This window comes from Homo sapiens, chromosome 15 (genome assembly GCF_000001405.40).
Source record: "Homo sapiens chromosome 15, GRCh38.p14 Primary Assembly".
Taxonomy (NCBI): domain Eukaryota; kingdom Metazoa; phylum Chordata; class Mammalia; order Primates; family Hominidae; genus Homo; species Homo sapiens.
Genome location: NC_000015.10, coordinates 98,952,488 through 98,976,809, shown reverse-complemented (window position 1 = coordinate 98,976,809; position 24,322 = coordinate 98,952,488). Strand labels below are relative to the sequence as shown.

The 24,322-nt window shown below is 47.1% G+C and overlaps 2 protein-coding genes across 11 annotated transcripts in view; one reads left to right on the top strand and one right to left on the bottom strand.

The window, feature by feature from the left end:
* PGPEP1L (pyroglutamyl-peptidase I like) overlaps nt 1–8,581 on the top strand; it is a 39,564-nt gene extending 30,983 nt beyond the window's left edge. Inside the window, exons 3-5 of one of the 2 annotated variants that reach the window (NM_001167902.2) lie at nt 5,652–5,774; nt 7,159–7,385; nt 8,113–8,581. In NM_001167902.2, the coding sequence (NP_001161374.1) occupies nt 7,177–7,385; nt 8,113–8,332 (429 nt within the window). In that variant the 5' untranslated portion in view covers nt 5,652–5,774; nt 7,159–7,176 and the 3' untranslated portion in view covers nt 8,333–8,581. The remainder of the gene's footprint in view (nt 1–5,651; nt 5,775–7,158; nt 7,386–8,112) is intronic. The other variant, NM_001102612.2, reaches the window with a different exon arrangement.
* IGF1R (insulin like growth factor 1 receptor) overlaps nt 12,280–24,322 on the bottom strand; it is a 315,992-nt gene continuing 303,949 nt past the window's right edge. For 5 of the 9 annotated variants that reach the window (NM_000875.5, NM_001291858.2, XM_047432445.1 and 2 more), the window contains one exon: nt 12,280–19,749. In NM_000875.5, the coding sequence (NP_000866.1) occupies nt 19,368–19,749 (382 nt within the window). In that variant the 3' untranslated portion in view covers nt 12,280–19,367. The remainder of the gene's footprint in view (nt 19,750–24,322) is intronic. The other 4 variants (XM_047432443.1, XM_047432444.1, XM_017022137.2 and 1 more) reach the window with 1 other exon arrangement.

Genomic DNA, 24,322 nt, shown 5'->3' with positions numbered 1-24,322 from the left:
CTAAAATTTTCATGTCTTTACTCATGTCTCTGAGATGCAGCAAGTAAACATAATCTACTCATGAGCTTCCCTTACCAAGACCATGCCCTCCTCCAGCCAGCTCACCGTGCTCAGGCCTCAGCCACCAGAAAATTCTGGAGTGGCCACTGCCCCTCCTTGCCTCTTCTGTTCCTAGGAAAACATCTATGTTTTGATCTGGGTTTTTGCAATACAGCATTTATATGGGAATAATTGCCATCCATAATGATTTCTCTTCAGGACACCTCAAGTCCTGAGACATTTTCAGCAAACCAGCAGCTTAAATACTGTTAGGCTTCAGATTTTATTGTTGTGATATGAGAAAATGACTTTTAGATTGTGATTCCATAGAACTCTAGAAGGCTTTCAGATATGGAAAAGAGTATGCTTAGTTAAAATCCCAACTTAATTATTATCCCTGAGGGATGTTAGCCTGAGCTAAATGATTTACTACGGATTTAGTCTTCGTTCAGAGCAAACTTTTTAGTCAGGTTAAAAAATGTTGGTGATGGTGAAAGCCATAATTTTCTTAAAATTATGGTAAAATATGTATAACATTGATGTATAACATTAAATTTACCATTTTAACCCTTTAAAGTGTACAAGTAAGTGGCATTAAGTACATTCACATTGTTGTACAACTATCATTACTATCGTGTCTAGAACTTTCCATTGTCCCACACTAACACTCTGTGTTCATTAACAATAACCCTCCATTTCTTCCTTCCCCCAACGTCTGGTAATCACTGTATGTTCTTTCTCTTAAGAATTTGGCTATTCTAGATACTTCATATAAGTGAAATCACACATTTGTCTTTTTTTTAATCTGGCTTATTTCACCATACATCTTTTCTTTTCAATTTTTTTCTTAATACATAATAGTTGTACATATTTACTTATTTATTTATTTTGAGACAGAGTCTCGCTCTGTCGCCCAAGCTGGAGTGCAGTAGCGTGATCTTGTCTCACTGCAACCTCCGCCTCCTGGGTTAAAGCGATTCTCCTGCCTCAGCCTCCCAAGTAGCTGGGAATACAGGCATGCACCACCATGCCTGGCTAATTTTTGTATTTTCAGTAGAGACGGAGTTTCACCACGTTGGCCAGGCTGGTCTCAAACTCCTGACATCAAGTGATCCGCCCGTCTCGGCCTCCCAAAGTGCTGGGATTACAGGCGTGAGCGACCATGCCCAGGCCAATCGTACATATTTATGGGGTACAAGTGATATTTAGACACATACATACACAACATTTGATGATTAAATCAGGGTAATTAGGATATCCATCATCTCAAACACTTATTTCTTTGTGCTGAGGACGTTCTAAATCTCTTCGAGCTATTTTGAAATGTACAATAAATTAATGTTAACTATTGTCACCCTACTATGCTATTGAACACTGGAACTTATTCCTTCTAACTGCATTTTTGTATCCAATAACCAACCTCTTTTCATACTTCCCTCCCGTTCATCCCTTCCCACCTTCTGGTAATCATCATTCTATTCTCTACCTCCATGACATCAACTTTTTTAGCTTTCATATATGAGTGAAAATATGTAATGTTTGTGTGTCTGTGCCTGGCTTATTTCACTTAACATAATGACCTCCAGTTCTATCCATGTTGCTACAAATGACAGGATTCCATTCTTTTTCTGGCTGAACAATATTCCATTGTGTATGATTACCATATTTTCTGTATCCATTCATTCATTCATTCATGGGCACTTAGGTTGATTTCATATCCTGGCTATTATGAATAATGCTGCAAAAGACATGGGAAGGCAGATATCTTTCTGATATACTGATTTCCTTTATTTTGATATATACCCAGCAGTCAGATTTCTGGATAATATGGTATATCTCTTTTTAGTTGTTGTCGTTGTTGTTGTTTTTGTTTGAGGTGGAGTTTCGCTCTTGTTGCCCAGGCTGGAATGAAGTGGTGCGATTTTGGCTCACTGCAGCCTCCGCCTCCCAGGGTTCAAGCAATTCTCCTGCCTCAGTCTCCTGAGTAGCTGGGACTACAGATGTGTGCCATGACGCCAGCTAATTTTTGTATTTTTAGTGGAGATGGGGTTTCACCATGTTGGCCAGGCTGGTCTTGAACTCTCAACTTCAGGTGATCCACCCGCCTTGGCCTCCCAAAGTGCTGGGATTACAGGCATGAGCCACCGCGCCCGGCCCCTCATTAATTTTTTAGAATAGTTGAGTAGAATTGGTATCAGCTCATTAAGTGTTTGGTAGAATTCAGCAGTGAAGCCATCAGGTTCTGGGCTTTTCTTTGTCAGGAGACTTTTTATTACTGATTCTATCTGTTACTCATTATTGATCTGTTTAGGTTTTTTATTTCTTCGTGGTTAAATCTTGGTAGGTTGTATGTGTCCAGAAATTTATTTTATTTTTATTTTTATTTTTTTTTGAGACAGGGTCTCACACGGTCACCCAGGCTGGAGTGCAGTGCTGTGATCTTGGCTTACTGCAGTCTCAACCTTCTGGGCTCAAGCAATCCTCCTACCTCAGCCTCTTGAGTAGCTGGGATTACAGGCGTGCGCCAGCAGGCCTAGCTAATTTTTGTATTCTTTTAGTACAGACGGGTTCGTGCCATGTTGTCCTGGTCTTGAACTCCTGGGTTCAAGTGATCTGCCCACCTTGGCCTCCCAAAGTGGTGGGATTACAGCCATGAGCCACTGTGCCCAGCCTATTTCTTCTATATTTTCCAATTTGTTGGTTTATAGTTGTTCATTATGTGTCTGATGATCCTTTGTATTTCTGGGGTATCGATTTTAATGTCTCCTTTTTCATATCAAATTTTATGTATTTGGGTCTTCTCTTTTTTCTTAGTCTAGCTAAAGGCTTGTTGATTCTGTTTGTTCCCAAAACCACCTATTCATATCAGCAATCTTTTGTATTGCTTTTTTAGTTTGAATTTTTATTTATTTCTGCTCTGATCTTTATTATTTCTTTCCTTCTACTAATGTGTGGTTTGGTTGGTTAGTGCCAGTTCCTTTAGGTGCATCATTAGGCTGTTTATTTGAAGTCTTTCTATCTTTTTGATGAAAGCATTTATTGCTATAATCTTCCCTCTTAGAACAGTTTTTGCTGTATCCCATAGGTTTTGATATATTGTGTTTCCATTGCCATTTGTCTTAAATTTTTAAATTTTCTTTTTAATTTCTTCACTGGCTCATTCATTGTCCAGGAGCATGCTGTTTAATTTCATGAGTTTGTGCAGTTTCCAACATTCCTTCTGTTATTGATTTCTAGTTTTAGTCCATTGTGGTCAGAAAAGATACTTGATATAATTTTAATTTTTCAAAATTTGTTACTTGTTTTGTGACCTAACATTTGAACTATTCTGGAGAATGATCCATGTGCTGTTGAGAAAAACGTGTATTCTGCAGCTGTTGGATGGAGTGTTCTGTAAACGTCTGTTCCTTCCATTGGGTCTAGAGTGCAGTTTAACTGTAATGTTTCTTTGTTGATTTTCTGTCTGGATGATTTGTCCATTGCTGAAAGTGGAGTATCAAAGTTTCCTGCTATTATTGGTTGCAGTTAATCTCTCCCTTTAGGTCTATTAATATTTGTTTTATATATTCAGGTGCTCTGGTGTCAGGTGCATATACATTTATAATAGCTATATCCTCTTGCTTTATTGATCCCTTTGTCATTATATGATGTTCTTCTGTGTCCTTTTTTTCACCATTCTTGACTTAAAGTCCATTTTATCTGATATAAGTATAGCTACTCCTGCTGTTTTTTGGTTTCTGTTTGCATGGAATATCTTGTCAACCCTTCACTTTTAGTCTGTGCATATCTTTTTAGGTAAAGTGAGTCTCTTGTAGACAACGTATAGTTGGATCTTTATTTTTTCAAAATCCATTCAGCTACACTGCACTTTTTTTTTTTTTTTTTTTTTTTTTTTTTTGAGACGGAGTCTCACTCTGTCACCCAGGCTGGAGTGCAGTGGTGCACGGTCTCTGCTCACTGCAAGCTCCGCCTCCTGGGTTCACACCATTCTCCTGCCTCAGCCTCCCGAGTAGCTGGGACTACAGGTGCCTGCCACCATGCCCTGCTAATTTTTTGTATTTTTAGTAGAGATGGGGGGGTTTCACTGTGTTAGCCAGGATGGTCTTGATCTCCTGACCTCGTGATCCACCCACCATGGTGTCCCAAAGTGCTGCGATTACAGGCGTGAGCCACTGTGCCCGGCCCACTGCACCTTTTAATTGGATAATTTAATCCATTCCACTCAAGGTTATGATTGATAGGCAGGTGTTTACTACTGCCATTGTGATACTTATTTTCTGGTTGCTTTGTAGATCCCTTCTTCCTTTTTTCCTCTCTTACTATCTTTATTTGTGGTTAAGTGATTTTCTCTAGTAGAATGTTTTTATTCCATGCTATTTATTTATTTATTTATTTATTTATTTATTTATTTATTTTTGAGACGGAGTTTTGCTCTTGTTGCCCAGGCTGGAGTGCGATGGCACGATCTCAGTTCACTGCAACCTCTGCCTCCCAGGTTCAAGTGATTCTCCTGCCTTAGCATCCCAAGTAGCTGGGATTACAGGCATTTGCCACCACATCTGGCTAATTTTTGTATTTTTAGTAGAGATGGGGTTTTGCCATGTTAGTCATGCTGGTGTCGAACTCCTGACCTCAAGTGATCCACTCACCTCGGCCTCCCAAAGTGCTGGGATTACAGGTGTGAACCACCATGCCTGGCCCATGCTATTTATTTTTAATGTATCTCTAACAGGTTTTTCTTTTGTGATTACCATGAGGCTTATAAAAAAATTGGATAGTTATAATAAGTTATTTTTAAATGATAACAACTGAACATGGATTGCAAAGAAAAGTATCAAAAACAAACTACAATTTAACACCAACCTTCACCCACATTTTTGACTTTTTAGTGTTTCAGTTTTATCTTTTTATGTTGCCTATCTCTCAACCAACTGTAGTAATTATTTTTTATAGTTTTGTCTTTTAGTCTCACACTTAAGACGTACATGATTCACTTAACACCATTACCATATTAGAGTATTCTGAATGTGTTTTCTTACTTGTGCCAGTGAGTTTAATACCTTCAGAAGTTTTCTTGTTACATGTTAGTATCTGTTTCTTTCAAGTTGAACCCTTTAGATTTGTAAGACAGGTCTGGCATTGATTTCCTCAGCTTTTGTTTGGGAAAGTCTTTATTTCTTCTTCATGTTTGAAGGATAGCTTTGCTGGGTACAGTATTGTTGTTGGTGGGTTTTTTTTCCTTCACACTTTGGATTTTTCTTTTCTTTTCTTTTTTTGGAAACAGAGTCTAGCTCTGTCACCCAGGCTGGAGCGCAGTGGTACTATTTCGGCTCACTGCAACCTCCACCTCCCAGGTTCAAGTGATTCTCCTGCCTCAGCCTCCCAAGTAGCTGGGATTACAGACAGGTGCTGCTGTGTGCATTTGCCTCTCTGGTAGGAACTGTGGCTCTCTTCTTGGCCCCTTGCCACTTTGTGAGCTCCTTGAGGGCAAAGTCCAGGCTGCGGAAGACCCCTGGAAGTAGACCCCAAGGATTGGGTTTTCAGGGACTCTTGGTGCCCACCCCCCCCCCCCCCCCATCAACTGAGGCAAGTCCACCTGCCGCTTTCCTCAGGAGCTCTCCAAGCTGGGCCTGGGGAATGAAACAGTGGTGCAGCTGCGGACTCTGGAGCTGCCTGTAGATTACAGGGAGGCTAAGCGGAGGGTCACCGGAATCTGGGAAGATCATCAGCCGCAAGTAAGTGATGGCCAGAGGCAGTGGGGCATGGGACTGGCGATGTGGAGCTGGAGCCTCTGAACCCCCGGGTCCTGGTTCTAGGGTTGATGGTTGAGGGGCACCCCGTCCCCAGGCCCCACCAGTCATGCAAGGTCCCAGCTGATTGTGTAAGGTTCTGGGTCTGTTTGTAAAAGTTTAAGCCAAAATATGGATTAGATCTTAATAGAAAATCTGGAGAGAAAGGAGGAGGAAAAGAAATGGAAGTATTATTCCCAGCCAGGACTCAAAAATAGTTTCCACCTAAGGGAGAGGCCCTTGGGTTGGGCCCCACACATACCCATGAGGGGCAGGTAGGTTTGAAGGTGGACGTGAGGCAAGGACCTCTGTGCCCAGGGAGCGACTGGGAGGGTGGCCAGCCTAGGGGAGGCCCATCTTCATAGCACGAGCCCATTTTATCTGGACATAATTACTGTATAAAAAACAGATACAACCCCACCCCCCCAAAAAAAACCCCAAACAAGGACCAGATGTGATGAGGTTAATAAAACATACACTATCAAGCCATTCAGACAATGCCCCAGATGTTTTGATAACATACTTGGGCAGCTATTTTTCAAAAAGGAAAAATAATCAGCTTGAATAAATTCTAAGAAGATTTCACTGGATGGCCACTAACTTCCTTTATTAAAGTTTCATTTAAAAAAAGATGCAGGAGGCGGGCACGGTGGCTCCCACCTATAATCCCAGCACTTTGGGAGGCCGAGGCAGGCGGATCACTTGAGGTCAGGAGTTTGAGACCAGCCTGGCCAACATGGTGAAATCCCATCTCTACTACAAATACAAAAATTAGCTGGGCGTGGTGCACCTGTAGTCCCCGCTACTCGGGAGGCTGAGGCAGGATAATCACTTGAACCCGGGAGGCAGAGGTTGCAGGGAGCTGAGATGGTGCCATTGCACTCCAGCCTGGGTGATACAGCCAGACTCTGTCTCATAAAAATAAATAAATACATAAATAAAATATAAAATAAAAAGATTCAGGATTCCACCAAAACACGAAGACTCTGCTGTGGTAGCCTCACCACTTACTAGCTTGCCTCTCCTCCCTCCAACCCTCCCCCCACAAAAAGAGAATACATTACCCTGTAAGAATAATTTGAAGTAAAAAGCATTTAAATGTAAATGCAGCATGAGTTTTTATTCAGCTAAAAGAATCCAGCTGTTTTTCTTTCCAGCCATATTAATTAGGAGACACTGGTGGGGGATCCTGGGGTTTCCCAGTGGATTTGGGGTTTGAGATGTTTTGCACAGAGCCGGGCTCTCAAAAGGAGTGGCCCCTTCTGCACATTTGGTGAGCAGGGTGGGCCTCGTTTTCCTGGGTTCTCTCTGCTGTTACCCGTTCACACAGCTCGTCGTGCATGTGGGCATGGACACCGCCGCCAAGGCGATCATTCTGGAACAGTCTGGCAAGAACCAAGGCTACCGGGACGCCGACATCCGCAGCTTCTGGCCCGAGGGCGGCGTGTGCCTACCTGGCAGCCCAGACGTGCTGGAGTCAGGGGTCTGCATGAAGGCAGTCTGCAAGCGCGTAGCTGTGGAGGGTGTCGACGTGATCTTTTCCCGAGATGCAGGCAGGTATGCTCTGTGGGTGTCAGGACTCTGAGCAGGTAGGAGAGAAGCAATGGCCGTCAGCGTCCCCCCGACCTCCAAGAAGCCATCCTGTATCGTCCAGCTGGCCACTTGGCCATGCGGTGCCGCCCCCAGATTGCCCCTCTTTGCTGTGTGCAGGCCAGCACAGTTGCTCACACCTTGCCTGAGGTCTCGTTTGTGAGACCTGCCTGTGGAAACACGGTCTTTGGTGTGTTGATCTAGGAGAAGAGATGGGAAGGCAGACTTCAAGAGCCACTAACATTTCGTGAATGTTTTCTGATTTTGATTTTTGGGGTGACCGAAGTTGTGAGTTAACTGTGTTGATGTAGCCCCAGATAAAGATTGATTTACCTTTGTTTCTCCAAACTCCGATCCCCAGTAGGTGGTTTTTCCCCTTTCCCCAGTGAATGAATGAGTAAGTGACTCAACGAAGACATGAATGAGAGGGATTCACTGGGATGCAGGTGCTGTGGAATATCTGACCCCTTTCTGCCTTGGCCACTTGCCGGTCATGAGGCCATGAGGCCAAGAGCCAGCTCTCCCCAGCTCATCCTGGCACCATGTTCTTTCTGAGGTGAAACAACACAAGTCTCCCTTGGGTGGCAGTGCTCCCTCCTCAGGCTTTGTGGGTGTTGCATTGCCACTTCTGCGTATGTTTCACTGAGGTTAGAGGCTGGTCCGAGAATTAATGTGGCATTTCCTGTGGTTGCAGATACGTCTGTGATTATACCTATTACCTGTCTCTGCATCATGGAAAGGGCTGCGCGGCACTCATCCATGTCCCTCCACTATCGCGCGGGCTCCCGGCCAGCCTGCTGGGAAGAGCCTTGAGAGTCATCATCCAGGAAATGCTGGAAGAGGTGGGAAAGCCCAAGCACAGAGCCCAGTTCGAAGAAAACTCAACCATGGTCCTTCCAGCCAAAGGGAACTGACCGGGGGATTGCTCCTCTAGAGAAAATTGAATGTTTCAATCCTGTATGTAGCACTCAACTGTGCATTGAGAAACTTTTTCAAAAATTGCTTGTAAGACAAAGAGGGTGGAAAACTCTGAATTAGCCCAACAAAATCACAAAGGGTTATTTTATTGTCAGGAGAAAGAACACTCTGAAAGGTGGACATTTCACAGGGGATGAACTAGCTTCAGTTATGGTTTTCATGACAATAAAATGAAATCCGAGTCATCTGTTTTCTTCCAAAAATCTACACAGTGGGTCTGTGTGATCCTGCGCAGACTGTGGGGACCACAGACCTGTTTTGGAGATGCTTACAGAAGCACAGAGACAGCCGCTGCTCCAGGGACCCCATTCCTGGCCTTTGAGCTTGTGTGTCCAGGTCCTGGGTAGCCTCGAAGCCACCGAGGCTCTACTGTATGATTTCTCTGTCTCTGTGTTTGCCCCTTTTACTACTCATTTTAATAATTTCAAGCATACAGTTCAGTAGTATACAGTACATTTCCTTGTTGTACAACCATCACCACCATCCATCTCCAGAACTTTCTCCTCATCCCAAACTGAAACTCTGTACCTATTAACTCCCTATTCCTTCTTCCTCCCAGCACTTGGTGCTCACCACTCCACCCTCCATCCCTATGAATCTGACTGTAGGTAGCTCATATGAGGGAGTCATGCGGCGCTGGTCCTTCTACATCTGGCGTATTATTTCAGCCTCATGTCCTCCAGGTTCATCCATGTTGTAGCATGGGACAGGATTTCATTCTGTTGAAGGCTGAATAATATTCCAGTGTATGTATGGACCACATTTCATCCATTCAGCTGTAGATGAACACTTACGTTACTTGCTCCTTTTGGTTCTTGCAAATCATGCTGCTACAAACACTGGCGTGCAAATATGTATCCGAGTCCTTGCTTTCAGGTCAATCTCCAGAGGTGAATTCCTGGATTCAATGCTAATTCTGTGTTTAATTTTTTAAGGAACTGCCATTTTGTTTTGCACAGGGGCTGCACCATTTTACAGTCACACTGGTAGTGTTTGGTTTGAAGGCGCAGGTTAATAGCCGGGCTTAGCTTCTCTCCATGGTGTCTTCCCTTTTTAAAAGCAGAATCTCCTTTCTGTTTCATGTTTTGTTTTGCTTTTATGACACAGCACCGGGTCTTGTGCCAAGCTTCTCCCAGCAAGATTCTACCTGTTCAGTGTTTTCTAGGGGCAGATTTCCTTTGGGAGTCCCATTGGTAACATCGCTTTTTTTTTTTTTTTTGGAGGAAGTGAGTGAAGGTAGGTGAGCTCTGGGAAATTTCTTGTTACGTTGGTGTGCTTACAACTACCATTTTTCACTTGACTACATTTAAAAAATTCATCAGTTAGTGTTTGGATTCATTCACTATTAAGAAAAGCATTTGCAGCTTCCTAACAAAGGAACCAGGCCAGGCGCAGTGGCTCACACCTATAATCCCAGCACTTTGGGAGGCTGAGGTGGGCGGATCACTTGAGGCCAGGAGTTCAAGACCAGCCTGACCAACATGTGAAACCCAGTCTCTACTACAATTACAAAAACATTAGCCGGGTGTGGTGGTGGGTGCCTATAATCCCAGCTACTTGGGAGGCCGAGGCAGGGGAATCGCTTGAACCCAGGAGGCGGAGGTTGCAGTGAGCCGAGATTGCACTATTGCACTCCAGCCTGGTCAATAAGAACAAAACTGTGTCTCAAAAAAAAAAAAAAAAACAAACAAAAACCCACAAGAAAACCAAAGGAAGCAGTCAAGGCCGCCAGCACGCTTTTTGCATTTGGAGTAGCCTTTAGGGGACTCCCTTTGCAAGTACACCTGGATCATTTGCTAGAAAACAGATCAAAGCCCACATATTGGGGGATGGGGGGAGGTGGTGCTGGGCGGTGTGCACAGGTCTGGCTGCATGGTTGCTAATGTGGAGATCTGTCTCTGCTATGGGCAATTCTGTCCCAGGACACTGGCAAGCAAGGGGCCCCCAGGACTGGGCTCCAGTGTTATATTTCAGACTGCCTGGCAGCATGCCATAACATTTTTTAAATTTTTAGATATTATCCAGTTGGGAGGCCCAGAGCTCCCTCTTCAAGAACTTCCCCATCATTTCCCCCCGCTGTGGCCCCTGAAGTTCTCCAGGGAGAACCCCAGAAGTCTCATTCACACCTGGGCTGTGTACTTCACCCAGCATCCCTTGTCAGTATGCACAGAGCCTGCTTAGTTCTGGCAGTGCTGAAGCCAGATTGAGAACCACAGCAGAAAAGGCTGAGAGGCTGAGTCCTGAGTTGGTAGCTGGTGGGGAGGTGGGGGGGCGGGGGAGGGGTCTTGAGCATGCCTGTATGTTTGCTCATCTGTAAGAGTAATTAAAATCCTTCCTTTGCAGGGTGATTGTGAACATCTGGTGAGAGAATGGATGTGAAGGTCTTTTTAGCAACATTAGAACACTACAAAAATCACACATCTGAGTGAGTATGGACTCATACCTGGACTTGGGGGGTAAATGCAGAAATAGCTCTTGAGGGCTTGCAGTCTTAAGAAATGGCCTGGAGGGGAAAGGTTCTAATGCTTCTGAAGACCCAGCACCTTCATCCTTAGATATTGCTGCTCCTTCTGGCTGGGCAGGCCAAGTGCAGACTGCACTGTGGCAACCTGGAAGGGCAGCATCTACCTGACCAGGGAAGGAGGAGGCCCTGTTGGGCTTTCCAGCCTCAGAATTGAGACCTCCTCATCATCAGTCACCTAATGAAGATCCCCTGAGTGCCAGGCACTCGGTGACAACACTGAGCAGTAACCCTGAAGCAATGCCAAGCTTGAGTACCCTTTTTGAGACAGAGTCCTACTCTGTCACCCAGGCTGCAGTACAGTGGCACAATCTTGGCTCACTGCAGCTTCTGCCTCCTGAGTTCAAGAGATTCTCCTGCCTCACCCTCCCAAGTAGCTGGGATTACAGGCACCCGCCACCATGTCCCACTAATTTTTTGTATTTTTAGTAGAGATGGGGTTTTACCATGTTAGCCAGGCTGGTCTTGAACTCCTGACCTCATGTGATCCACCCACCTCAGCCTCCCAAAGTGCTGGGATTACATGCGTGAGCCACCGCACCCCAGCTGAGAGTCCCCTTTCAGAAAGGCCTTTGCTTTTAGGTGCAAACACTTCTGAGGCTCAACAGGTCTGAAGTAACCATGGTCTTCGGTTTACTTCTACCTATACATTGCTGGACAGCTCTTCTTCTACTGGCCCGATTTTGCTATTGGAGCATAATTTCCCATGATAAAGTTGAAGGAAATGACCAGCTTCTCTGCCTGATGTGTCTGAATCCTTAGTCTGATTCTAGAACACACCTTGCCATACATGCCATTTCCCCTGACAAAAATAATGTTTACATTGTAGGGTCCCTAGGGGCAGACAGAGATCACTGAGCAGCAGCTAGAAAGTAACTAGGACTTTGGAGCTCCTCCAGTGACCCACATTCTGCGTGAGGCCCACTGGGTTCTCACCAGCATCCCCCCGAGGTGGGCATGTCAGCTGTGAAAGACCAAAAAGCACATGGGAAATGTGAAGAACTGAAGTCCTCTGCCTTGGGGTCATGCAGATCAGACTTGCCTTGGCCTGACTGTTGTTAGTGGAAGGTATAGGAAAAAAGTCTACAAATCAGTCGGAACTGCAGTACAGAGTTTCGTAATTTATGTATTCAAATTTCTTTCCAGATGATTTAATGGAGGGAGAAACAGATAGCTTCCCTGTCGTCTTTACTGGCAATCTGCATGCTGAGAAAGCTCAGCTGTCAGAGAAGAGGCAATGCTTTTCTGGAGAACGCTTCCAGGCAACATGCGTGAACACACGTGCCCCACATAGCTCAGCTTCCCTGCCACCAAAGTGTAGTGATGCTTCCAGGAGGGACAAAACCAAACCAGAGACAGAAATGCATACAGAATTATTTTATTTAACTTAAACCATGTAGTACTTTACTAGAAAAAAGCAGAGTAAGAGAAACTAACGTTGCCTTAGCTTCAGCCATTCAAAATAGACAGTTTCTTTTTTCCATTATGTAAAGAATCCAGAGTATATCGCAATAACAGGAATAAATTCTTACAACAGAATATACAAAAACATTTTGAAATTTTTTTCATCTACTGATTTTTTATATAAACAGGATTTTTTAGGAATAATTTATACACAGAAAGTCATTTTATGTAACAAATTGGCCATGTTATTACCTTTTTTTTTCTTACTTAAAAAAATTTTTTTTTAACAAGAAAACTCAGAAAATGCATTATTTGCGGTGCATCCATTCCATCCCGCCTTCTGGTTTGATTTTTTTTATCCCAGACAAAGGGATACCCAGAGGTAGACAAACTCTGGCAAACCTCTCACCTCAACCTCACTGGCTTAGAAAGCAGACAGGTGTTTTCACCGGGCGTCTCTTCCACCGGTGGATGTGTGTGTGCAACGCCAAACATCCAAATGAAAAGTTGAAAACAAAACCCAAATAGTTTCCAGATCTTTCTCCTATGTAGCGCAAAAACCCCAGGTGTTTCCCATGATAGAGATATTGTGGAGTTGGGGAGACATGGCCAACAATCCACTGGAGTTAGAGGAAGTGGAGTCAACTTTAAAACCAATTTTTGTGTATGTTATAGTTTTTATTAAAAATTCTTTTCTGTATTGGAAATACGTATCTTCGGGGTTCTGCCTTAAATAAAATAGGGTCTCTTCTGTGTTCTAACAAAGCAGTAATCAGTCATGATACGAGGCATGTAAGCAAATGGCCTGTGTGCCCCATAGCTGTCATCGTTTATGTGATCACTGTGTATGCTGTAATCATCATGAAAACCATTGGCTGTGCAGTCAAGTCTTCCCATGTCCATGGCACTGTGCTGACAATGACGGCAGCCAGACCAATCAAGCCAGATGCCGAACGGTGCCATGCACTGCTGGGCTCCAACACCTCGGCTGTTTCCATGGCCAATGAGGTTCTTTCCATCTGTTAAAGTAGCTACACTCCAAAGGGAAATGACCAGTAAAAAATGATCCCCTTCCCAACCAGAGGGTTCTGGAAGACCAAGATACTGAAGATACAGAACTACTTTTTAAATCATCATCATTCCTTTGTTATAAACTAGGGCAAAAAGCATGGGGGGAAAAGAGGGTGAACCACGGATGGGGTCAGGGAGAAATCCTTTTTTGGCATATTGTAAAGCTAGCTAGTAAACAGGTGTCCTAAAAAAAAAAAAAAAAAATGGATCACAAACACACATTTGCACACACAGAGAAAAAAAAAGTGTCTTTAAATTATTTTCGGCAATTATAAACTACAAACATTTTATAAAATTATTCTGTTCTTACAAAAATGCAATGAAACATTTAATTAGTTCTTGTAAACCAGATCTTCGTCAACTGACTACCCGTAATCTACTGGACTTAAGAGCCCTATTGAAAACGCTAATGAGTGACTAGTTAAAACAATGTTGACCAGAAAGATGCGGACACACACACGTGGGACATAAAAATGAGTGATCGTTATGTTCTCGCAGAAACAAAACGCTAAAGTCATGCCCCAGAACTGACAACTGACGAGTGCGATGTAGTTTGTGTTCTTGAACAATTCGCCTTAACTCCGAGATCAGTTTCCAGAGTAGGATGTTAGGTTTCTTTGTTGAAACCAAATGCCCACGGATGACTGCTGAGCCTCGATGTGGTCTGATAGCTTCAAGAACAATCAAGTTCAAAACCTTGCCCACATTCCTTCCAAGCCCTGCACCCTGCTGCTCGTAACTCTTCTCTGTGCCAGGATCCCTGTGACAATGGTTCTGTACCCACCACCCGGTCATTCCACCATCAAGGAGCACTCACTTCTCCAAATGACGCAACCAGTCATCTAAGATGAAGGCCAAAAATGAAACCCTCTGACCTGTCCAAGGTCTGTATCTTCAGCATCTCTGGCAACAGAGGTTCAGTCTAAATAACATCCTCTCTTGAAGTTCTCATTTGTACCACCAGCTACTTCAGAGTGAAGAAAGAAAGTGTCTTTCGCCACTGGTTCTTAAGGAGTGGATCTCTGGTCCACATCTCCCAATGCTGCTTAGCCCAGGAAATGAAGACAGCTGACAACACAGAGGAACATTAACGAAAAGAACAAACCCCAAACTTGAAATGCATAACTGGGACTGCTGGAATGGGCCAAGGCATACCACGGCGGGTCACTGTCACCAGGAGGGCGCCTGTGTTTTAGAAGGGAGTGGCCAACACCGTCTGGCCACCCTGGAAGGAGCCAACGTGACAGCTAAGAACACTAGACAAGCATCCTAGCCTTCTCACCCATCGATCTCAGTGTGATCTTGCCACAGAGCCACTGGCAAGCCATTCGGCTGCCAGCCTGCAGAGGTGGACTGCTGTGGGAAAAGCTTCAGTGGAACAAACTGGCCTAGAATCTGGTGCCAGAGAATAGTTGGCTCATAAATCTTTTATCCCAAAGCACCCCAATGTGCACCGAGCATCTCGCCATTTGGTAGTTCCACAGTGACTGCTCTTCTATTTTACGAAGCCACTTTTCGTACCATTGAAATGTGACTCCGCATCTTAAGAAACAGGCCAGGAGAGGCCAGGTCGGCCACGAACACGGTCTTCCATCTTCCAAGGAGGAGGCTCGTTCCAAAGGTATGTCAAACGTCATGACATCCCACGAAGGAGACCTGGGGTGGTCTGGGTCTTGATCAAGTTCAACAGTGTCTCCAGTACACACCAGCTCCTGCTGCCTCAGGGAAGGGCTGTGTGGGAGAACGTCTTAATGCTCACATCAATTCCATGATGTGCCTCAGTGGTTCATATGACTTCAAGCAGTGTGAGCTGCTGGCAGAAGGAGGTTGCATGGAAAATGCCACAACTCAGCTTAAGATTATTTGGAACACACAGAGAAAAATCAAGAGGCAGAGAAATCAGCATGAAGTTAGGCTAGAACTGTGGATAGATGATGCCTTGGTATAGTCAAGGTGGGTGGGTTGGTCCAGTAAAGTGACTGCACCATCACACAAGCCAAGTTTTCTCTTTTATTGAGGTGTTTCTGAAGCATTTGCTATGATGGGCACTACACTGTTAGTGTTTTCTACTTAAAAGCTACCTACATAAAACAAAAACAAAATGACATCAGTAACTCGGACAGTTTAAACAAAACCCTTATAACCAGCTGAATGATCTGTAGAAATCCAGTTGTGGAAACCGGTAGGTATGTGCACGAGAGGAGAGGCCGTTATTCCAAGGGGTCACCTACAGTGTGGAAGAACAAAACCCTGATCCAACAGTATTTCTCAATGACCTTAAGATCCCCGGGGTCCTGGGAGAGATGGGTCGCGTTCCAGCAGGAGGCTCCTGAGCGCCTTCACTTAGGCTGGAATTGCCGAGGAGCCATCCACGCTTAGGCAAAGCTGCCCGCCACACTTCCCAGCGAAATCATCAGTGCCTGTAAGAGCAGCTGCTGGAAGAGGGGAGCGAGCCGTCTGTCCTGTGAGCAGCAGGACCAGGGAGACGGAGGTACAGCCCTGGCGGGGGGGGCGTGACGCCACGAGCCTCGGCGCCGGCCACTGGGCTTTCCAGCCGGAAGGTTTGGTACATCTCTGTCTACCCCTAGGGAAGGAGGTGAGGGAGAAGTTGAGAGGGCAGCCTGGAGGGGGAGGGGACTCTGCTCCTGCGTGTGTTCTATCAGGGACTGGCTGTGAGGTCAGGAGCCTCTGCATTCTGGCGCACAGGCTGGGTGACTCTTGCTCTCCAGCTGCTGCTGCAGCTGCACCTTTGTGCTCAATGAATGCAGCAGCCATGGCCGCACGGTCCTGCCTCAGCGCGAGCCTCCTGCAGGGATGGAGCAGCAGCAAGGGGAGCAAACCCAATGCCCCACGCCTTTACCCTGGGGATTCGCACAGAGATGGTGCTGCCTGGACACCTTCCTCTCCTCAGAACCTGAGGAACCACTGCTCTCTTAAGGACGAAATGTGTTGGTCATTCCATCTGCACAGAAGCAGTTTGTTCCAAAGACAACCAGCCAGGGACAGCCTGGTGGCTCCCCCAGGTGTGCTCTGGTGCCCTCGTTGGCCTCACAGGGCCACCTGGCTAGGAGGAGGAGAAATCTAACACCTTGGTGGAAACCAAGATAGAAAACAAAACAAAAAAAGCAACACAAAACAGGACATCTCAGAAAAAGGCAAGCTGTCTGAAATGAGCAGAGAGGTGAGTTAGTGTTGCTTTGACCCCGGAATACAGCCTGGCTTCCCCCTGCATCACCTGGGTGTGGCGCCTGTGGCGTGGATGAGGTTACCAGTATCAACGGCCTATTGTCAGGTGCTGAGAAAGGTGAGATGTATTCTTTTGTCTATATACACATATAAAAAATAAGAGTGAGGTAGATAAATGTTTGGGGGAAAAAAAACCCAAAAAATCAAGAACTGTCCCATCACTCTCACACACACACACCCCACACATACACACACACACACCCTTTCCTTGAAATTTAAATTCATAATGGGGCTTTTCTACAGTGATTGAAACTGGTAATTTATCACAAAATAAATTAAAAGAAAACTCCTACATATAATACCTTTTTTTTTTTTTTAAAGGGAACACGCTATGGGATAGAGACTAGAGAAAGCAGTGGGACAAACTGCTGACCAGCAAAAAAGCCGTATAAACTTTCTTTTCTGTGTTGAATCTTCAGTCACAACTAGCAATCACCGTATCCCAGCTTTGTTCTTACTCCTAAACATTTCTATCCCAGAAGCAACTCTTGTGCTGTCATCTCTCTGGTGAGAAGTGCTAAAAATGAAACAAGACAAGACCCCTGGGCCCCAAGGACCTGGATTCCTGGCCGAGGGAAAGTGGGCCAGCACCACAGCCCTGGTCCCCCAGCAAGAAGCAAAGGGGCTCTTGGGCCACCGTGGCGTCTGTGCTGCCTCCACCTAGCACTCCAGCGGGCACAGCCCTGAGGGTGCCGCCCTGGGCCAGCCTGGATCCCGGGGTCCCACTCAACGCCAGTGCGAAGGAGTTCCCTTGGGATGTTCTGGTTCCAAAGACAGGTCAGTCGGTCCGGTGAGGGGGGTGGCGAGGGCCACAACAGGCCCTGCCGGACCACGCTCTGCTGCTCCCTTGGACTCAGCAGCTGTTTTTCGTGGGATGGAAGGATTAAATAGCCATTAAGAAAAATAGTAATCCAAATGCCTAGTGTCTGCGGTTAACACTGCTGTTGTACCCAAGAATTAAAAAAATATATATATATGTGTGTCACAACCTAAGCAAAGGCAAGGGAAAGAGAGGGTGAGGCTTCTCAACCACGGTGAGTGGAAACACTGAACAAAGACGTGTGAAATATTTAACCTTTGTTTTTCTGACCTGAGTTTGTATCATGTCTTGCACTGTAACAGGCTCCAATGCTGTGAGGGCAGGCTGGGGAGAGGAGCGCGGCCCTCTCAGGATGGGTGCCCGGCCTGCTTTCTGCCTCGTGCCCAGAGAGCCTACGGGTTAGAAAACAACTAAAGGGGCAGGTGGGAGCAGGGATGGGGGATGTATTTATAAAAAGGCATCCAACAGTTCATGGCAAATTATGTGATAGAAGTATCCATTACCGGGAAAAGAGGAAGAAAGTCACGCACTCTAGTACAAAGCATAAGAAGTTTCTTGGAGTGAGCAGAAAGGGGAGAGGGTGGACCTGAAGGTTTTCATAGATTAAATCCACAAAGATCAAGAACAAAAAAAATAGCAGCTTTTTTTTTTCTGTACAGACGTATAGATGAATATCTGAACCGTAAAAAAGTTATAAAAGTGACATTAAAGACGATGTGTATGCAAATGTTTCATGGTCTAACATAGAACTGTAAGACCCATGAAGAAGTCCTAGGAACAGAGAAAATGTCAACAAAGCTTAGAATGCTTGAATCCATTGACTGCTTTTCTTCTTACTGCTGTTGTGGTGTTTGAATTTCTTTCCTTGCAAACCTGCATCAACAGTGGGGCTGAGTCCCTGGAAACCCCTTCCCATCTGTGTCCTTGGGGGCGGGCGGGGGAGCTGGGGCTGGGAGAGAAGCAGGCATGGGGCCCCTTGACTCCAAGCCTGTCCGCCAGGCTGCTTCGGGGCCCATGGCCACCAGATTCTTGGGGGTTGGGCAGGGGGCTGGGGAGGCAGGGCAGGGAAGCCGGTTCAGCTTCTCCCCACCTTCACTGAGAGAAAGACCTATTGTGTCCAGTTCCCCCAAATAATAATCTAGTCAGAAGCAATGAGACCTGTGTGCCTGTGGCCTTGAGCAGCACAGCAGGGGCAGTCGGATGGACGGAGTGTGTCGCCAGCGTGTCTCTCAAATGGAGCAACCAGCTGCCATGCTCACCCATGCCTCCGGACACGAGGAATCAGCGCCGGGCCGATGAGGGAGAAAGTTCAGGATTTTGGCAAAATTAGGCAGCGTTAAAATGGTAACAGCCTTGGATGAACGATGGCCCTTTGTAAATTTCATGTCCCTAGAAAGGTGAAAGATAAAGGTAAAAATTTCCATCTCCACGTGTTTTTTTGTAATGACCCACGGTGTCAGGCGGGTGTGTACAGTGGTTGGATGGGGCCACAGGGACAGCCACTTCCTCAAACTGATAAAAAGGGCTTCCCAGCTGGACTTGTGGCAATTATTTTTCCGTTATGAAGCAGAGAGGAGAGAGAAAGGGAGAACAGGGAAGGACAGGGACAGAGTGAGGAGACTGGTTCTCAAGTGCTCTGTTGCTATTAAGTGTTGTCATTAAGGTTCTTAAAGGCCCATGTCAGTTAAGGGTTTGGGCAGGGAATAAAAAGCTGCTTGCATATTGAAAAAAGGAACATCCCAAATGTGTTTTACTGCAGAGAAGCTGTCTCCCGCGGGCAGCAAGGGCAGTTCTGAAGATCCACTGAGGTACAGGAGGCTTGTGAATGGATTGTTAAAACTCTCTCTCCCCCCCCACCCCGCTGCGCGTGCGCACACGTTACTGTTTGCACAGATTCAGGATCCAAGGATCAGCAGGTCGAAGACTGGGGCAGCGGCAAGGCCCGCTCGTTCTTGCGGCCCCCGTTCATGTGGGCGTAAGGCTGTCTCTCGTCGAAGCTGGCGCGGAGGACCAGCACCCCAGGGCCGGGGCCGTTCTCGGCCTTGTGTCCTGAGTGTCTGTCGGGCAGTGGCAGGGAGGACGAGGAGGCCGAGGGGTCCAGGGGGACGCTCTCCATGTTCTCTGGCTCCAGGTCCAGCTCCTCCGGCTCGGGCAGCTTGTTCTCCTCGCTGTAGTAGAAGGAGACCTCCCGGAAGCCAGGCTCCATCTCCTCTTTGATGCTGCTGATGATCTCCAGGAAGGAAGGCCTCATCTTGGGGTTATACTGCCAGCACATGCGCATCAGTTCAAACCTGCAGCCAAGACACACGGGAGGGGGTCCAAACCGGGAGGGCGCACATGGCCAGGAGGCTTCATGGGCCGCCTGCAGTGGTTTCCCGCATACAAGCGTACGGCGGGAGCACTGAACACAGCCCTGCTGCCCCTCTCCATCCCTGGCTTTCTGCCTGGATGGCCAAGTGGCCTTCAGAGTCTCCTGTTTTACCTCGTACGGTTCCATTCTCTTCCCCCAGAACCCAGAACCACCACGGTACAAAACCCAAACTCTCCTTTCCCAAGAAGGACTAATCCAGGTCCACACTGTCCATCGTGACAGCTGTTATCTATGGTGGCAGTGCTAAGAAACAAAAATAACCAGTTTTCTATCTGAGGCGTCTCATGCAGGCACTGCTGAAACATCCTTTCCAGAATTAGCAGGAAACCCCTGGTTTCTCACCAGGAAGGCTGATGAGTGACCGCAGCTTCCCCAACAGTGCTCTCTCTCCGGTTCCCACCTGTGCTATTTCTAAGCTTCCTCCTGGTGCAGGGCTACCCCTGGCAGACAACCAAAGGAAGAAGGCACTGTGAGGCCAGGCTTGCAACACGAAGAAATGCACACTCCGAGTCTGCTGTCTCCATCTAGCACGTGCTCGCTCCAGCCCTGCACAAGCAAGCCCCAGCCGATGAGCCAGGCTGTTCTGGACCAAACGAGAGGCCCCGTGTAGACCTGAAGCCAGATTCCAACAAGCCAGCAAGGAGAGCCCTGGGCACGAGTCCCCTCCACACGCAAGGGACAGGCAGAACAGGATGACGCTTGTGCTGTGTGTCGGTCGCATCGGCTGGGCTCCGACAGCACCTGGGCTGCAAATACCTGTGAGGCCCTCAGAGTCACATGGAGCAAAGGGAGTCCTGCCGGCTGTGGCCGGGGCTCCCCAAGAAAACAGCCGGCCACACGTGGACAAGGAAAGCCGGCTGCCCTGACCCAGGAAAGGCCCGGGCTTTGACAAGCTTCCAGAATGCAGAGACCCAGCTAAACAGACTTTTGGGGCAAAAAGCAGCTGGCTACCATCCAGGGCTGGCCATAGTTCTGAGGAGTGACCGCCAACAGCCCTCTCTTACATGAGCGTGAAACCAAAGTGCCTTCCTTTCCACGTCTGTTCTCACCAGGAAGTTATCCTCTTTATTTTAAAATTCTGGCTAAAGAGATGCTTTTCCATAAAAGTGGCCACACAGAACTCTCCACATCTAGGAAACTCAAAGCACACCCAGTGGCATCTAGCCTCCTGTCAGGGTGGCTGCTTGACCACAGACTACCTGCCCGTGTCTGGCCTTCAGGGAACATTCCAAGGGGAGGCCCCTGATGTAAGAGAAGCCACTGGGCCTGGAAGCTGGCCTGCCAAGAGAAGGGCTCCTATGGCCACCTGGCAGCTTCCTTCAGGTGGAGAAGGTGCAACCTTGAGGGAGGGTGGGCCTGGGTGTGAGGGAGAGCCATCCAGAATTCACTAGAATTCAGCGTTCTAGAGCCCGGGGGCCTGCGTCTCCACAGGGCCTAACCCGGGGCTGCCCGCCTCTACATCAGCTGCACTGGCATGGGGCCACGCTCCCTCATTTCCATGTGGGCTGCAGCTGCTTTCCAGCTACAACTACCAGCTGAGGACATTAGGACAGAGACTGTGGCCTGCAAGTCTAAAAATGTTTATTTACCACGTCGCCCTTTAAAAGAAGGAAGGGTGCAGGTTCCTGTTCTGGGGAGAAAAGAATTAGACAAAATATGAAGGCCCCCACAGTATGCTTCTTAGATTTGGAGAGTTCCATGTGGCCACTTTTATGGAAAAGTATCTCTGTAGCCAGAATTTTAAAAGTCTACCCCACGGTAGAATGCCATGTGCACGCTAGGTGCCAGGCAGCGAGGCAGTTATGTGTGTGAACTGCTGAAGTCCTCACGAGTTTGTGAAGCAGGTGCTACTGACTATAATATACCCCCATGTTACAGATGAGGGAACAGAAGCACTAAGATACTAAATAATTTGTCCAAGATTACAAAATTCATGAGGGTGGAGCTGGGATGGAGTTCTCTGCGCAACAGAATGACTACACTTTGATCACCAACGATCCTGGAAAAAGGAATTTTTCTCAACCTAAATAAGAGTAACCCTGGGGCCACCAGGAGACCCTCCCTCACCTAACTGTCCAAGGAACAGTCACAGATGTCACAGGGATGTGGTTTGCATTGATAAAAGCTGGCAGCTTGATGACAAATAAGCCTGCCTTTCCAAACTCCCCATCACTTCCTAAGAAAAATGATTGGGGTTAAAAAAATTAAAATAGGCCATAACGACATGAAATGCCTGGGCTGTGAATTCCTCTCCAGCTGACTTACCCCTGGGCAGAAGCGTAACTGGGCCAAGAGCATGAGATGTGCTTGGCTCTGTGCCCTGTGGCCAGGGACCGAGGAGGTGCCACAGGAGAGCAGCGAGGCAGTGACATCAGCACAAACAAGCCATGTGACGCCTCTTTTAAACCATTCCAGAGTAACAACCCTTCCAGTGCTGCCCATGAAAGGAAGTCTTTTTTGCTCTGTGGGATTCAAGACCTTGTTTACTATTTCCACACACACAAAAAATCTCCATTAGACTCTAGAAGGATGTGTGAGCTGATAAAACTCATCTTTTAAAAAGCACAATTTTTTTTTTTTTTTTAACCACAGGTCAGTTCTGGGGAGGCTGGCGCCATCCTTCTCGAATGCTCTCCCCTTTGGGGGACACATACCCAGCCCTTCTCCTGGAACAGGGACAAGACTCAAATGGAATTCCTGCCCTGCTGGGAAGCAGCTTCCTGGGGGCCAGCTGTGACCCCCCCCGGAGGCTGGGTGACGGTCAGCAGGGTGAGCACACAGAGGTGCCTCCGTATTCTCACTTCACTCTTGGCCCTGATGTCCTGAACTGGACAGGCTGTGACCTGTGTGCGATGTCAGCAGGCCACGAGGCACCCGCACATTCCCACACGCTGCCGGGAATCAGCACGGCCCCAGCCCGGTGCCGACGCTCACCGGATTCCCAGAGGACCTGCGGGGCTGAATGTGTCTCTCCCTCCTGGCAGCCCTCAACAGTAAGGGTCGTCTTAGGAACCACGCCTCAGCCAGGAGCGGCTGTGGACATGGGGCCTGTGTGCCTCAGTGAGCTTACTGGGGCTAACTGAGCAGGAGCGCCCTTCCTGTCTGTCTGGGTCCCACTCAAGCACTCGATTCCCGCAGAACCAAACCAGGATTCCAGCGATGGGAAAAACTGTACTGGAAAACTACAAAAAACATCAGATTTCACTAAGTTTGTTTCAGACTCATCTATGAGTTGATAATGCTCCAGGCTAAAGTTCAGATTCCCTCCTGAATCCTGTAGACCAAAGACGTCTCTGGCAACAGTCTGGACACGTGGAGCTGTGGAAGTGTTAGCAGCAGAACAAATGGCTTCCTGGCCCAAGTCTTCCACGGCTGCGTTCACACCTCTGCCCTGGCCCTTATCCCGCAGCAGCCGGGACCTTTTACGTCACTACGTTTCCTGAAAGCCAGGGCCACTCCTGGCTCATCTGTGTGACCTCAGGGTCAGCACGCACCCAGAGGAGCTCAACAGTATCTGTGGCATAAATACCGAGATCTGGGCTGAAATAAGGCTGAGGACGGGCTTTGTCATCAATCTAAAGTACAGACCCAGCAGGGAACCACAACCCAAATCTGATGTTGTGATACCTGCTAAGTTAATTCACACTGAGTCATGGCGTTGAGACTCAGACCTCGACACCTTGTGGCTTGGGGACCACGGAGTCCTTCCTCTAAAGCCAGAACACTCGGTGACACTGAGGGGTGAGAATCTGGCTACTTCCTGATGGTGAGCTCCAGTCCACCTGCAGCCACCGAGCTCCTTCAGCCCCTAGTGTCACCAGATGGTGCCTGTTCAGATCTCAGAACCACACAACTCACACACTTTCTCACCTGGGACCCGGCAGAGGTTTCAAGGCAACTCCCAAGGGCTCAGGGACTCTCCTCTCCGGGATAAACGGAGGCCATTCTTTCATGTCTTGTAGCAACAGAACTCCCATGCTAGAACCCTCCTTTCTCAGGTAAGCTCATCAGTAAACTCAGAAGGACAACATGACACTCCCTATGAAACCAAGTTGCCTCCTTTCATTCTACTCTTTTCTTGGAAGGGAGAAAAATTTTCTCAGGAGAAAACATTTTCTTAGAAGGGAGAAAAATTCTCGATGGCAAAGCAGAAATGCCTCCTGAACTAAACATTGAATGTCAGAGTAACCGCTCTGAGTAAATTTCCTTGTCACTCTATGCTGAGAACAGGAAGTGCCCTGCGTTTCCCATGGCAGGGGCTGCGTCCCAGGCAGTTTACATTAATAGTAAAAGCCCAGTCACCTGGAGGTGGACCAAGTAAGAATCCCACAAGTCTCTTGTAGATAAACGTTTACCCGAGTCAAAGAGAAAGCACAGAACAATACCGCTCTCCCTCACCCACCCTAAACCACAGAAGCAGAACTCACACCTGCTTTCATGGGCTGTTTCTAAGCTTGCTAAAATACCACCAGTTCTAGTATTAGCCTAGATTC